The sequence below is a fragment of the Homo sapiens genome, chromosome 2 (assembly GCF_000001405.40).
Source record: "Homo sapiens chromosome 2, GRCh38.p14 Primary Assembly".
Taxonomy (NCBI): Eukaryota; Metazoa; Chordata; class Mammalia; order Primates; family Hominidae; genus Homo; species Homo sapiens.
The window spans coordinates 19,812,735-19,829,015 of record NC_000002.12 but is presented as its reverse complement, the minus strand read 5'-3'; the positions used below and the strand labels follow the sequence as shown (position 1 = coordinate 19,829,015).

General features: G+C 39.3%; 1 pseudogene; it reads right to left on the bottom strand.

Moving 5' to 3' along the window:
• On the bottom strand, positions 2,108–2,820 carry CISD1P1 (CDGSH iron sulfur domain 1 pseudogene 1; annotated as a pseudogene).

Sequence of the window (16,281 nt, the reverse complement as noted above, 5' to 3'; positions counted from 1 at the left end):
GAACATTTTTAAATGTTCGTTGAGAAGTTTTTGCAATACTGATGTCAAATTTGTTCCTAAGTATGTTTCTTTTTGACATAATTATAAAAGAAGCTGTTTCTTTAATTTCATTTTCCAATTGTTCAATGTTGCTACCTAGAAATACAATGGATTATATGTATTGACATATCCTCTGACATTGCTAATCTCACATATTCTAGTAGTTTTATTATCAATATTAAGTTTTGATAATTAAACGATCAGGTCACCTGTGAAAAGGAAAAACTTTTACTTTTCCCTTTCCAGTCTTTATGCCTTTTATTTCTTTTCTGTATTGAACTGGTGAGGACCTCCAGTATGATGTTAAATAGAAGTGTTGAAAATGGGACATCCTTGTCTTGTGACCAGTAGTAAGGGAGAAGTGTTCAGTGTTTCACCGTTAAGTATGGCACTGGTAGATTTTTTTTGTAGCTGCCCTTTATCAGACTGAACAAGTTTTTCTTTGATTCCCCATACACTGTGTGTGTATTATCTTAAAACCTTAAGTGAATTTTGAATGCTGACAAATGCTTTTTCTCTACATTTTGAGATAATCACGTGGTTTTTCTCTTTTATTCTGTTAGTATGGTGAATTTCTTTGATTTTCAAATACTAAATCAATCTTGCATTCCTATAATAAGCCCACTGGTTCACAGTGAATGATTCTTTTCATATATGGATGAACTCTATTTGCTAGTATTTTGTTAAGGATTTTTGCATTTGTGTTAATGGAGAATTTTCTCGTAATTTTTTTTCAGGCTTTGATATATCAGAGTATGCTAGACTCATTAAAAGAGCTGGCAAATGTTCCTTTCTCTATTTTCTGAAAGAGTTTACTTGTGATTGATGTTATTTCTTGCTTAAACATTTGATCAAATTCAGCGGTGGAATCTTGAGCTTGAAGGTTTTCTTTCTGGGAATGTTTCTGATACCAAATTCAATTTCTTTGCTATGTATAAGGCTATTCAAATTTTCTGTTTCACCTGTGTCAGTTTTGGCAAGTTGTGCTTTTCAAGGAATTTGCCCATTTCATGTAAGCTGGCAAACTTATTAATGAACCATTGTGCATAATATTCCATTATTATCCTTTTGATATCTGTAGGGTTTGTAGCACTATCGGCTCTTTCAAATCTGATATTAGTAATTTGTATTTTCTTTTTTTCTTGATCCTTCCTGTGAGAAGTTTATCAATTCTATTCATCTTCTCAAAGATCTAATTTTCAGTGTACTATTTCTATTTCCTATTCAATTGATTTCTGTTCTTTTATTATTTCTATCCTTCTATCTACTTTGGGTTTAATTTGCTCTTTTTTTCTAGCTTAAAGTGAAACCTTAAAACACTGATTCTATACCTTTCTTCCTTTCTCATGTAAGCTAAGAAATTTCATCTGAACACTCTAACTGCATCTCACAAATTTTGATACGTTGTGTTTTCATTTTTATTCAATTCAAAATATTTTCTAGTTTCCCTTTTGAATTCTTTGAAACTTATTTAGTATTTGTTTAATTTCCAAATGGTTGGGGGCACTTCTAGCTTTCACATTAATATTGATTCCAATGTAATTTGTTGTGGTTAAAGAACATACTCCATAATATTTTAATATTTTGAAATGTATTTAGACCTGTCATGGTCCAGCATATGGTGAATACTCCATAGCATTTAAAAAGAATAATGTAGTCTATAGTTGTGGATGTAGTGTTCTGTAAGTGCCGGTTTGACCAAGGTGTTTGATAGCATCATTCAGATCTTTTATACCTGTACTGATTTTTTGTTTAACAGTTTTATCAGTAGCTGAGGGGAATGATAAAATCTCCAACTCTGTGTATAGATTTGACTACTTCTTTTACTTCTGTTAAGTTTTGATTCATTTGTTTTAAAGCTTGCTATCACTTGCAGACACATTTGGGCTTGTTATGTGGAATTGAATCCTTTATCATTACAAAATGTCCCTTCTTATCTCTGCTAACACTCCTTTTCTTGAAGTCTATTTTATCTGATCTGCATGTAGCTCCTCCACCTTTTTTTATGATATGTGTTTCCATAGTTATTTTTTCTTTCCTTTTATTTTCAATATATTTTTTTTAAAAATTGAGAATAATTTAATATGTTGACTTCAAGATACAACTATATTCTGTGTAAGATACACCTGTATATGTCAATATTTTAAAGAAACTGATCCTTACAAGACCAAAATAACCCACAGGCCATGAGGTTGGTTTTTCCTTTTTTTTTTTTTTTGTTTAAACAAATGTGCACCACGATGTTTCAAAAAGTAAGACAAATGCCATCAATACGAAAGCTGCAGTTTGCAATATACCGCATTTAGAACCCAGGGGAGGTGAATTAGACAGAGGTGGTAGTCATTCTAATTAAGCAATCAGTTAACTTCACAAGTTGATATGCAACATCAACAGTGTCCAGTTAAGTTTCTTTTTTCTCGATGATCAGAGGTCCCACGTTGTCTCCAGTCTGTTCGTTGTGTTTTGTGTGAGACCCATCACAGAATGGGAACTTTTTATACCTCCAGCAATGGCAGTACACAGCTTTATCTTCCAAATCCTCCATGTCAAAAGCATGTACTATCTTGGGGTTGTCTTTCTGGATGTGAAGGTTCATCATAGCTTTATTCTGATGATCTTTGTCATAAAATCTTTTGTAAGCTAGATAACCAGTTGCAGCTCTCCCAGCAGCAATAGTAAATGCTGTGATCCATTCAACTCGTATGCTGGAACTGGAAGTCAGACTCATGGCGTCATTGCTTGCAAGGCGTGTGCACTAGAATACCAGGCACAAGTGGATTCCTCAACCTATTTTTATATTTATGTCTCATCTCACACACTATAGTTGAAACTTTTTTGTTTTTTAATCCATCCCAACTATATTGGCCTTATAATTGTAGTGTCTAGTTCATTTTCATTCAATATAATGATTGATATAGTTGGATTTAGGTCTGCCATTTTACCATTTTTAGGTATTTGTTGCTTCTGTTTTATGTCCCACTTTTTCTCTTTTCTTTCCTTTGTTTGGGTTAATTGAAATTTTTTTAGTATTCCATTTTGATTTTTCTATTGAATTTTTAGCTATATGTTTTGCATTATTATTTTGGTGGCTGCTCTAGGAACAACAATATGCATCTTTAGCTTATTTCTTTATACCTAGAGTTAATAATGTACTATGTCACATAAAATGTTGGCTGCTTAGCTATAATACAAGGAGGTCCCTTATCCAGCTCCTTTTCCAGACAGAATGTTAAGTAATACCTACCTTCTATGAACAGCAGAAGAAAAATTGGAAGCTAATAAAAGTTGATTCATGAGGTTTTGGGAATGAAGCCATCTCCATAACATAAAAGCAGCAAGTGCTGATATAAAAGCTGCAGCAAATTATCCAGAAAATCTAGCTAAGATAATTCATGAGGGTGGCTATGATGCAGGACAGGTGAGCCCCAAATTGGGGCTTAGCCTGTGAGGGTTCTTGGCTTCTCCCAGGAAAGAATTCAAGGGCGAGCCAGTGGTAGGGTAGAAGAATACAGCTTTATTGAAGTGGCAGTGTTATAGCTCCATGACTGCTCTTGCAGAGCAGGGAAACCCCATAGGCAGAGAGTAGCAGCTCAGGACAGTTCTGTAATCATATTTATACTTACTTTTAATTGCATGCAGATTAAGGAGCAGTTTATGCAGAAATTTCTAAGGAAAAGGTAGTAACTTCTGGGTTGTCGAGTCATTGCCATGGAAAGAGGTGGTAACTCCTGAGGGTTGCCATGCAATGGTAAACTGACATGGCACACTGCTGGGTGTGCCTTATGGAAAGCTGCTTCTACCCAGTCCCTGTTTTAGCTAGTCCTCAATTTGGACTGATGCCCAAGCCCTGCCTCTGGAGTTGAGTCCTGCCTCCTACCTCAGCTACACTGAATAACACATTTTCCACATAGACAAAACAGCCTTCCATTGGAAGAAGATGCCATCTAGGACTTTCATTACTAGAGAGGAGAAGTCAATGCCTGGGTTCAAAGCTTCAAAGGACAGGCTGACTCTCTTGTTAGGGGCTAATGCAACTGGTGACATTAAGTTGATGCCAATGCTTATTTACCATTCTGAAAGTCCTAGAACCCTTAAAAATTATGCTAAATCAACTCTGCCTGTGCTGTAGAAATGGAAAAATCAAGCCTGGATGATAGCACATCTGTTTATAGCATGGTTTGCTGAATATTTTAAGCCCACTATTGAGACCTATTGCTCAGAAAAAATGATTCCTTTATAAATATTACTACTAATTGACAATGTGTCTAGTCACCCAAGAGCTCTGATAGAGATGTACAAGGAGATTAGTGTTGTTTTCATGTCTGTTAACAAAACATCCATTCTGCAGCCCATAGATCAAGGAGTAATTTTGACTTTCATATCTTATTATTTAAGAAATACATTTTGTAAATCTATAGCTGCCATACTTAGTGATTAGTCTGCTGAATCTTGGCAAAGCACATTGAAAACTGCCCAGGAAGCATTCACCATTCTAGATGCCATTAAGAACATCTGTGATGCATTGGAGGAGGTCAAAATGTCAACATTAACAGGAATTTAGAAGACATTGATTCCAGTTCTCATGAATGACTTTGACGGTTCAAGTCTTGAGTAGAGGAAGTAACTGCAGATGTGGTAGAAATAGCAAGGGAACTAGAATTAGACTTGGAGCCTAAATATGTGACTGAATTGTAGCAATATGATGATAAAATTTCAATGGAGGAGGAGTTGCTTCTTAGGGGTGAGCAAATAAAGTGATTTCTTGAGATGAAATCTATTCCTAGTGAAGATTCTGTGAACATTGTTGAAATGACAAAAAAGGATTTAGAATATTAGATAAACTTAGTTGATAAAGCAGCAGCAGGGTTTGAGAGGATTGACTTTAATTTTGAAAGTCGTCCTATTGTGGATAAAACACTATCAAGCAGCATCACATGCTACAGAGAAATCTTTTGTGAAAGGAAGAATCGATTGATTAGGCAACTTCATTGTTGTCTTATTTTAAGAAATTGCCACAGCCACACCAACCTTCAACAACCACCACCCTAATCATTCAGCAGCCATCAACACTGAGATAAGACCCTCCACCAGCAAAAAGATTACAACTCACTGAAGGCTCAGATAATCATTAGCATTTTTTAGCAATAAAGTATTTTTTAGACATAATGCTATTGCACATTTAATAGACTACAGTATAGTGTAAGCATAACTTTTATATGCCCTGAGAAACCAAGAAATTCATGTGATTCACTTTATTGCAATATTTGCTTTATTGCAGTCATCTGGAACTCAACTTGCAATATCTCTGAGGTATGCTTGTAATGCTTTTGTAAGTTCATTTAGTCAAAAGTGAAACAGATGAAATAAATGTTAAGACATTGAATATTGGAGATTTTCTTCAATGATAATAAAAATACAAATTTTGGTAGAACACAGTGTTATAGAGGAAATAACTTTCTTACTAAATTAAGATATTAATAGACTCAGAATGTACTTGAAGTTGGTTGGGTGCACACATACTTAATAACTGTTTCCAAATGTCGTTTTTTTCCCCCATCAGTTGAATTAGAAAGTGTAGTTGTAAAAAATTAAGTAATTTTATATGTACTCAGAAAACTGAACTACAAAATTTTGTGACAAAACTGATTTTGAGTGCGAAATAATAGTTTAGCATGACAGTATACACTTTTCTCTTTCCTGCCTATTATCAGTCAGATTTTAGAAATCTTTGAATTTTTGAAGAACTACTTTGTGAATCAACTTGTGTCTTAAAATGTTGTAGAGCTTTTGTGTAAACAAATTCTCTAAATTTTGGTTCATTTTGTTTAAAACCAGCTGGAGATTTTAACCAAAATTAAGTAAGTGATTCATCTTAAGACATCAGCTTATGAATCTTTTTTTGAATTGTGACTACTAAAAACAAGCCCTGTAAGTAGGAAGACACTGAGATTTCTCTCTACAAAAGCAAGGGAGAAGCTGAAAAAAAAAATCACAAGAGATAAAATGGTGTGCCACACTTAATATTCAAATTTTCTAAGTGCTTTGGAATATCTTGATTTATGGGGTGAATCTTGTGATGGTGCTCACATGGTAGTTCAGTAAATTTGTATTCCGCAATGTGGTGGAATGGAATTGAGTAGGCCTATGATCTCGAACATGTAAAACTGGTGAACCACTCAAAAGAATCATAGAGACAACTTATTTGACATGTTTTGGCAAAGAAAACTACTCTGAGACAAAAGGAAAGTATCCGTGAAAATACTTGAAGTGAAATATTTACTCTTTTCAAATATGAAAAATAATTAAAATGGACAATATCCTCAATTTCACTAAAATTTCCCCAAGCTTTCCAGATATCTCAATACCAGGAGGCAAAATGTTTTCTCAATTAAAAAAATTGTGCTCTACAAAGAAGGGCCAATTCAAAGAATCGATGACTTCAAATATATGAATCATAACATGCAATTTGAAGAAAATTGCAGGCAATTTTATGGCAAAGTCTAAAATGATAAGATCAGCTTGAAAAAATTACAATCTTCGAAAAATTTGGTGATACAATATTAGAGGGTGATATGTCTAGGAAACAGAATTAAATATGCAAATCCATATCAAACATAAATTATTCTCTTTACATTATTTTTTAATGTTCAGATGATCAACATAGAGATTAAATTTTTAAAAAAAATTTCAATCTGCATTTCTTTTATTAAGAATGAAGTTGGGCATTTTTCATATTGCTTAACTATATTTCCTTGTCAGTGATTATTTATTTATATTCTTTCAGTTTTTCTGTTGAGTAGAAAGTCCTTTTTCTTCACAATTTCCAAAATCTCTGTCTCTTTTCCTAGTTGGAAAAGAAAGGATAATTTTATTTTATTTTATGGGTTTAAAACTTTTTTTTCTAACTTTTATTTTAGATTCAGGGGGTACGTGTGCAGGTTTGTTACCTGGGTATATTGAGTCATGCTGAGGTTTGGGGTGTGAATGATCCAGCCACCCACATGCTGAGCAGAGAGCCCAACAGTTTTTCAACCTTTGCCCCCTCCCTTGCTCCCACCTCTAGTAGTCCCCAGTATCTATTGTTGACATCTTTACAACATATTTTTTTGACTTGATGTACACAAGTCTATATTATAGTTTTAGAAGAAATTTTATTTACTTTTTTTTTTTTTGAGATGGAGTCTCGCTGTGTCACCCAGGCTGGAGTACAATGGCGCGATCTCAGCTCACTGCAATCTCCACCTGCCGGGGTTCAAGCCATTCTTCTGCCTCAGCTTCCTGAGTAGCAGGGATTACAGGCGCCCGCCACCATGCCCCGCTAATTTTTGTATTTTTAGTAGAGACAGAGTTTCACCATGTTGGCCAGGCTGGTCTTGAACTCCTGACCTCAAGTGATCCGCCCTCCTCGGCCTCCCAAAGTGCTGGGATTACAGGCGTGAGCCACTGCACCTGGCCAGAAATTTTATTTTTGAAATTAGTTTTTGAATAGAATAATTTTATGGTCTATCAATAAAATAATCAATTTGCAAGGCAACACATAAATCTTAAGAAAATTATTTAGTTTTTCTTACTGTTAGATCCTCCTTCCACTCTCAAAAGTGTCCCAATTTGAATGGTATATTATATGGTTGTGCTTGCATTGTGTTTGCCATGAACAGAATTCATGAATATTCTGGTGTTCCACCTTTCAGGTGGATGGTAGTTTTGTACTTCTCTGCTCTGCTTGTAATCAGTTATGGCCATATGACATACTTGGACCAGTGAAAGGTGAGCAGAAGTAATGTGTGGCATCTTTAAGAGCCAATGCATGCTTACCCTCCCCTTTCTGCTGCAGTGATCATGGAAGCATATGTCAAATAGAAGTTTATGTCAGGTTGCAACCTCTAATGGTGATGGCCTGGAGCATAGCTCCTAGCAATGCTGCATTAGAAATAAATAAGGGAGTGTTGTAAATAAATTCACACATTGATCTTCGTGTTGTTAAACCACTGAGATATTGGGATTATTTATTATGTAGCAAAACTTCACCTACCCTCATTGATAAAACTTAAAAAATTAAAAAAAAATTTTTTTTTTTGAGACAGGATTTCACTTTTGTTGGCCAGGCTGGAGTGCAAAGGCGCTATCTCGGCGCTATCTTGTCTCACTATAACCTCTGCCTTCTGGGCACAAGCAGTTCTCCTGCCTCAGCCTCCTGAGTAGCTGGAACTACAGGAGTGTGCCACCACAACTAGCTAACCCAGCTAATTTTTTTGTAGAAACAGGGTTTTGTCACATTGCCCAGGCTGGTCTTGAACTCTTGAGCTCAAACCATCTGCCTGCCTTGGCCTCTCAAAGTGCTGGGGTTACAGGCAATCGTGCCCGGCCTCATAACACTTTAAAATAAGTTAATCTATTAATTAATAAATTTAGACCTCAACTGGTCTCAAACCTGGGGCAGTTTATAAACAGCAAGATACAATAAAATATAGGGGGTTGGGCAAAGGGAAAATAGGGGTATGAAAATAAAAATGTTGGAGGTAAGATTAATCCTCAAACTGCAATCCTGTGTATGCATTCCCAGCGATGGGCCACCAATTAGTCTATAAACTTCTTAGCAGCAAAGGCAAATAGGGAAATCTGAGCAGTAGCAGCACCCATAGGATAATAACAAACCAGATTCTTAGGAAAAATCTTAGACAACAGTGGGGCAATGTGTCAAGAACTGGATGGCTTTCCTTCCAAAACTCAATCGGAGTGTCTCCCAATGGCTCTTTCTCACACCAGTTCCCAGTGCAAGCAGGGGCCACAGTGACAATATCCAAGTCAGGAAAAAAGAATGGGAGGTGGTGGTCAAAGGATACAGGCTGGACAAACAGCTTTGACGACCTGGCCGAATTTAACATGAACATTCCAGAATCTATAGCATGAGTGGGTGTCTTTTAGTCTATCCTTCCGTAAATGAGTGAATGAATGAATGAATGAATGAATGAATAAATAAATAAATAAATAAATAAATAAATATTTCCTGATGCGGCCTCTTTTAACAAAATTGTCTAGGAAGGAATTTGGTTATATTCCCTGGCAAGGTCCTGGGGCTGAATCAGACCTGGCTCCTACCCACCAGAAGCTTCCCCTCCAATGACAGGGCAAGATACATAGACAAACACCCATAGCATGGAATGAATTATGGGAAGAAAGCCCTGTCCATGCAGTATGCCCTGGGGGCCCTGAGAAGTCATGATGGCTCTCATGAGTGGTAACTGAGTCATTCCCCAAAAGGGACATGATTGGCCCTGGAGGTCTGTGTCTTGGCAGCTATTTAAGGTGTCTGAGTGCTTGGCATTGCTGTCTGTGAACAGCTTCATATCCAAGGACCATCTAAAAGGCCTGAGGGAAGAACATGCTGTGTTGAATAAGCCACAATGGCAATGAAGCCAGCTGTGCCTAGGCAGCCACAGTGTCCTCAGTGAGCTCGAGGGAGGAACATCAGCCAGGGCTGGATGAGGCCTATGAACTGATGACCTCAAGACTGGAATGTTTGCAAGAGTCTATTTTTGTTTCAGATAAAACCAGAAACAATGAGCCACTTGGGGAGCCAGCCTCCTGGAGATTGATGGTGAGGGGGCGAGCTGAAGCTCACTGGGGAAGTATGTGTGGCTCTCCGCTCACCCATATATTTCCCTGCAGAGCAAAGGCTGGGTGATGACTAGAACAGGGAAATCCAGTTCAGGCCAAGGCAGGGTCTACAGAGGCCGGGTGCTCTTTCACAAACACATTCAGTGTCTCTATCCATCCCTTCATCTATGTATGCCCCTCCACCCCGGAGCTTCACCTAGTACGCAGCTGGTGTCTGGTCCTGTTCTTGGCTAAGAGGGTAAGACAGGAGAAGGTATAGGCCTTGTTCTCAGGAGAAGACCCCCCAGGCAGAACACCACCAAGGAAAGCACCTGACCCAAGTGAGAAGCCATTTGGAATTCAGGGTCCTGGAACTTCATTCATTGCTAACCCACCCTAATCAAGGAAAAACAATGTTTTCCCTTTAGAAGGCTTTTCTTCATCAATCCAAGAGCTGTTGATGGAGAAATCTGTGTGCCTGGCTCTGCACTTAGCAGGGTGTGTGGGTGGGGAGTGAAAGGGAGCACCTCTCCAGCTAAAGACTCTTGCATCCAGTTCTCAGAAGAGAGTTAGAGCACTAATTCTGGAGGTGGAAACCCAGACACCATTAATCACCCGAGGACTGCCTGTCCTCCATCACCTCCCCTCCACTGTGACACAAACCAGGACTTTTAAGGAGCTTGCTGAGAGCCACTCAGCTAATCAGAGGCAGATCTCCCAGACCTGTATTTCCCCCCTCCCGCCGACACCAGTGAAGAGCAATGGTTGCTCCTTCCTTCATCAAATAGTCCAGAAATGAAGGTGGTGGGGAGAGGTCCTTCACCCTCAGGCCATTCCCTAGCCCAGGCTCCCTTTCCTTCTTTGACCCTCCTGGCCTCATGGATCCCTGATCCTATACTCAACACCTATTAAGTAACCTTCACACCTGGAGGTTTCTAAAGCTCCCAGTGAGGAAGTCTGGACTTTGCTGGGGAAATCACACCTCCCTCTGCTGTCAATGCTAGGTCTGTCTTCACCCCAAGAAGAAGTGGGTTGGGCTCTGATGTCCCTGGCTGATGGCCACATTGCTGTGTGTTTCATGCTCATGTTCCCCTCTGAGTCTGTCTGAAGACAGAACAGAATCAGGACATGAGGAGACTCGGCTTCCAGCGGGACTTGCTGGCACCATTCATAGTGTCTGGGGAAGCATGTCAGTGATTTGGCAGGGCTGGGAACTGTGGGAGCCCCTCCATGAATGCGTCACTGCATGGGCCATTCCTGACTGCAAGGAGATGGTTTGGGAATCAGATGTGTTTAGTTTGCAGGGTTTTCAGATCTGACATCCAGAAAGACACCAGCTCAGAACCTGGTCCAGAGTGAGATGCAAGAGGGCCTGTTACAATGTTCAGATCCTGACTTCAAGGTGCTTTTATCCAGGATACCTAAAGTGTTTCCCTCATTGGTTAGAAATGATCAGTAGAAAGACTTACAGTGGGTTACTCAAGGTACTATTTGTAGTACCAACTTGGTATTAAGTGAGGTTTGTGTGCTATAATCTTTAACTGGTCTCATGTGTACCTTGTCTCCCCATGAAGAAACCACACTGGGTTGCCTTAAAACTCTATTTTGGGCCTGGCACTGTGGCTCACGCCTGTAATCCCAGCACTTTGGGAGGCTGAGGAGGGCGGATCACGAGGTCAGGAGATCGAGACCATCCTGGCTAACACGGTGAAACCCCGTCTCTACTAAAAATACAAAAAATTAGCCAGGCGTGGTGGCAGGCACCTATAGTCCCAGCTACTCAGGAGGCTGAAGCAGAAGAATGGCATGAACCTGGGAGGAGGAGCTTGCAGTGAGCTGAGATCGCGCCACTGCACTCCATTCAGCCTGGGCGACAGAAAGAGACTCCGTCTCAAAAAAAAAAAAAAAAAAAAAAGAAAAAACAAAAAAACCCCTCTATTTTGCATGTTCAAATGTCTATTGAAAAGATGTTTTGAGAGAAGCAAGACCCTCTCAAGAGAGAGGAAGTAGGATCAGCTTCCCCCAGCTCCTACAGGGATCATTCGTTCTTTCAATCGGCAGACACTGAGCCATCTCTGTCAGGTTTGGGCTGGTAGCAGGCTACAGAGATGAATTGGAAGTGATTCTGCCATTGAGGTGTGCGGATTCAAGTAGGTGAGATTGACATGTTTGTAAAACACCATAGTAACCTCAAGGCATGGGATGCTGCGTGGGAGGAAGGCTACGTTCTGAAACTGTTCAGTGGGTTGCTCCCTAGAAAGGGCTTCTTGAAGGAGGTATTGTGATGGCAAATTTTTGGTGCCAACTTGGCCATGGTGCTCAGATATTTGGTCAAACATTATTCTACATACTTCCATGAAGGTATTTTTAAAGATGAGATTAATGTTTAAATCAGTAGGCTTGAAGTAAAGCAGACCACCCTCCATAATGTGAATGGGCTTCATCCGATCAGTTGAAGGTCTTAAGAGCAAAGACTGACCTTGAAGCAAGGAGGAATTCTGTAGCAGATGACTTTTGGACTCACACTGCAGTTCATCCTGGGATCTCCAGCTGCTGCCAGACCCTGTAGATTTTGTACTTGTCAAGCCTCCGCAACTGCTTGAACCAATTCCTTAAAATAAATACCTCCCTCTCTCTATGTTTATATAGATACACATCCCATTGGTTCTGTTTCTTTGGAGAACCCTAATACAGGTATTAATGGCTGAGGGTGCCTTGGGGGAGTCATTGCTAGTTTATGGGAACTCCTGGGCTGTACACAAGCACAGAACATTCTGGAGTGTCATGGCCCCACAGACCCATTTTTAGGGTTTATGAGAAGATAACAGAGGCCTTTTTCCAGAGACTAGTAGAAAGTGATTGTCAGAGATAAAAAGCTTTTCTCTAAAAAGACAACAGCCTCAGTGGAAGAAAGGCCAAAAGAGTTTTATGCATCTGAAGAAGTTGCTGGAAATCCCAGAACCATGGACGAGCCACTTGTGGATTTCACTGAAAAAAAATTAAAGCAAAAACCAGAGTCAAATGACCAAGTGACAAAGAGCACTACTTTAAGATGTTAGAAAGCCAAGCCCTTCCTGGACCTGAGACCCAAAGTCTCAGCTATACCAAAGCCGGAGATAGCTACATCAGTTCATTTTTGGTTTTGCTTTTCTGAGGTTTATCATACTGTTAAGTTTGCAATGTTAAAACAGCTTTGTATTTTTAACCACATTTCTAATTTTATTGTTAATCTTTCAATTAAAAAATTATAATGGAAAATGAGCAGTTTATTCATCATTCAGTCTGTTGAATCTAGGAAGAAGTGGGAGGTATTATAGTGATCTCTGGACATGTTCCTGCTGTGGTCATCCTTCATGGGTTCCTAAGAGCTAATCGTGGTCTTTCCTAATATTATTCTAACAGTTTTATAAACACCTACATTTTTGCATGAAACAACATCCTGCTTAATATAACTGGAGAGATTTCTGTTTTCCTGACTGGCTCCTGGCTGATTCAGTATTTGGCACTGCAAGTGCTCCTAGAAAGCAGACATTTAAAGATGAGAAGAATGGGTTGGTTATCTGTGCAGATTAGGTTTGAAGCTAGTGATGGCTTCTTTCTCAAAAGAAAATGGAATATTGACAATGCATGGCCTACCATGGCAAACAGTAGTTTTAAAATGTCACCTGAAGTTGTCTGGAATAAAGAACCTATGAAGGGCAAGGCTTTGGCAGACGACATGGTGACTGCTATAGAATGTCATGGTGGCCACGTGGAGTGAGACTTGTAAGGGTGGGCAGGCTGGCCATTTCTGACTGCACTGGAATAAAAGAAATGAATAATCTCAGGGTACAAGTCAATGATCAGAGAATCAGAGTGCTTCTGTAACTGCCTTAAAATAATTGTTGCTTGTCTTGTAACTTAGTGTGTTACAAAGTTCAATTATGAAATTGCAGATAATAGCACAATGTAATTTACATCCATACCGGGTCTTGTATTAAAGTGAGGACATTGTTTAAGAAAGAGTGAGACACTGAGAATAGGTATGCAGACATTTGGGTAGATTTGGCTGATTCAGAATAGCTTGGCCTCACATCCCAAATCTCTCTGTGCCTACTTTGCCATTAGAAGCAACCTTCTCCACTGCTCTCCGAGGAAACTACTTTCCACTTGCTTAAGGACCTTATAAGGAGATGCTATATCCCCTTAAGACATATTCTCACTACCTCTCATTGTTTTCAGATTCAAAACTAAGTCAGATCCTAGCATGCCCAAGAGGGTTGAGAACAAAGTATGACCCAGGAGGAGAAAGCATACATGCAAGAAAAATTACAAGGTGACAGTCTAGGGAGAAGGTTATGTAATGTTGGATTGGGATGAATGTATCAAGATGCATGTATTTACCAGGTTCTTGATCTAATTTGTTAGCTTGAGCAGCTCAGCATGACTCTGGCAGTTTGCTTTTTTTTGTTTTTTTGACTGAAACTTGGACTCAATGGTGTCCCGAGTGAAATGAAACTCACACATCAGAACTTCCTTGGCATACTGCAGACAAAGAAATCCCAAGGCTTAAAGAGATAGGAATGCTGAAATGGATCTATCATATGCAACCTGCTCACCCAGCCCCTTACAGGAGGGTTCACACAGATATCACTCTTTTATACAAAGTTGAGAAACACTGTACATTGGTGGGAGAAGTACTGGCATTCTTGCAAGACTTTGTGATGGTTGTTTGCTGCAGGCAGGAGTTGATGGGGGGAGAGATTGCCATAGGAAGGGTTTTCTTGATTTCACTGGGAATGATGGGATTCCAGGGAAGCAAATGTCAAGGGCGGTATTTAACCTCCAGGAACAAGTTGTTTGTGGTTACTGAAACTGACAGTAGGACTAGAGTAATCATCAGAATCCTACATTCATCACGGTACCTATGTTTTCTAATTTATCATGGTGTCCCTAGGGGTGAATAGATCACCCTTCTACCTATAAATATTGCATCTAAACTGCAAGTGGAACATGTGTAGGGACTCATTTTGGATTTGAAAAGCCAATCCTTTAGAGTATCCTACGACACCACTGAGCCAGTACTGGGCACACAGATAGGTGTTTATTGATGCTCAGTGCCTTAAACTCTGCAGCATTCATAGATTCAGTTGTTAACTCTTGAAGAGTTCTTAATGGCAATCTCATTCACTTGTTTTTAACTTTTAAAGGTCACAAACCCTTTGAGAATTTGATAAAAGCAATAAAAACATTTTCAAGAGAAATGAACACATGGTTACATAACATTTGTACTCAATTTCTGGGGGTTTGTGTTGTCTCTGCAGCTTCAGATTAAAAGCTCCTGAATACTGACAAGCCAATAGCTAAATAAAACAATGGAAAAATATTATAAACCGATAGAAAAGGAAATACACATGGTAAAAAATATGAAAAGATTTTCACACCCATTAAAAATAAGAGTCATGTAAATTATACTGAGATACAAATTTTCATCAACATTTGGCAATGATTAAATGTTACGTGAAAAACTGTGTTTTCAAGAATATGGGAAACGAGCATGCATACCTTTCTGGTGGAAGTGCAAATTGATTCAACATCTATGAGGGTAATTGGACAAAGCCTATTGTATTTACAAATGCATATGCCCTTTGACCCAGTAATTTTATATCTGTGCTTTAATCTGCAGATATATTTGCAGTGTTTCAAATGATATTTTTACAAGGTCATTCACTGCAGCATTGATGGAGAGAGTCAAAGACTGAAAAAAGCTTAAAAATAAGTTGATTGGGGATTACTTATTAAAAAATAACATTACATCTATACAAATGAATACTACATAGCTGTGGAAAGAACAAGAAAGCTTTATGTACCTATGTGAAATAATTACTAAGCTGCATTGTAAGCGAACATGGCATGGGACACCACATTGTGTAGTAATAGGACACACACACACACACACACACACACACGTTGATGATTAGGCACAATACCACCATTTTTGCTTATGTGTTTCAGAGAGGGGAAGTGACTTGCCTGAACCTACCAACTAACGAGAGGTAGAGCTGGGACTTGAACTGAAGTCCTCTGACTTCAAATTCCTCTTCTTTTTCATTGAATGTCATAGTCCTGTTGAGAGATACCTTGCATAGTTGACTGGGTATGTGGCATGTAGCCTGCTACAAGGTCCCACCCCTTGTTCTGGGTCTTTCTGAGGGAGGCCATGAGGAGTAATAACATCACATGGAAGAGAAAATAAAGCTTTTTATGGCCTGCAAGCAGTTCTAGTCATCATTTGTCTTCCACAAGGAGCAATGGCCATCTGATGGTTAGTTGTAGACCCTTGACCTTGTGGCCAGAGGCCTGATGGGTCAGTATCTGCTAGGAGGATGAGGATAGGACTTCTTTTAGCTTGGGAGATCCATGGGCCTTAGGGAGGAGGGTCTGGTGATCAGTACTTCAGGGTCTGATTCTTGAGCCCTGAGGCCTTAGAGGCAGGTCAGGTGTGGAAGAGTGTGGGACGCAAAGTGAAGGTGCCTTGGTCCTTGGGCCATGGTCATAACCAGGTTCAGCATGGGAGTCTGAGGACAAGTAGGAAAGAATGAAAGAGAGAGAGAGAGAGAGAGAGAGAGAGAGAGAGAGAGAGAGAGAGTTGAGGAGGAAGAGGGC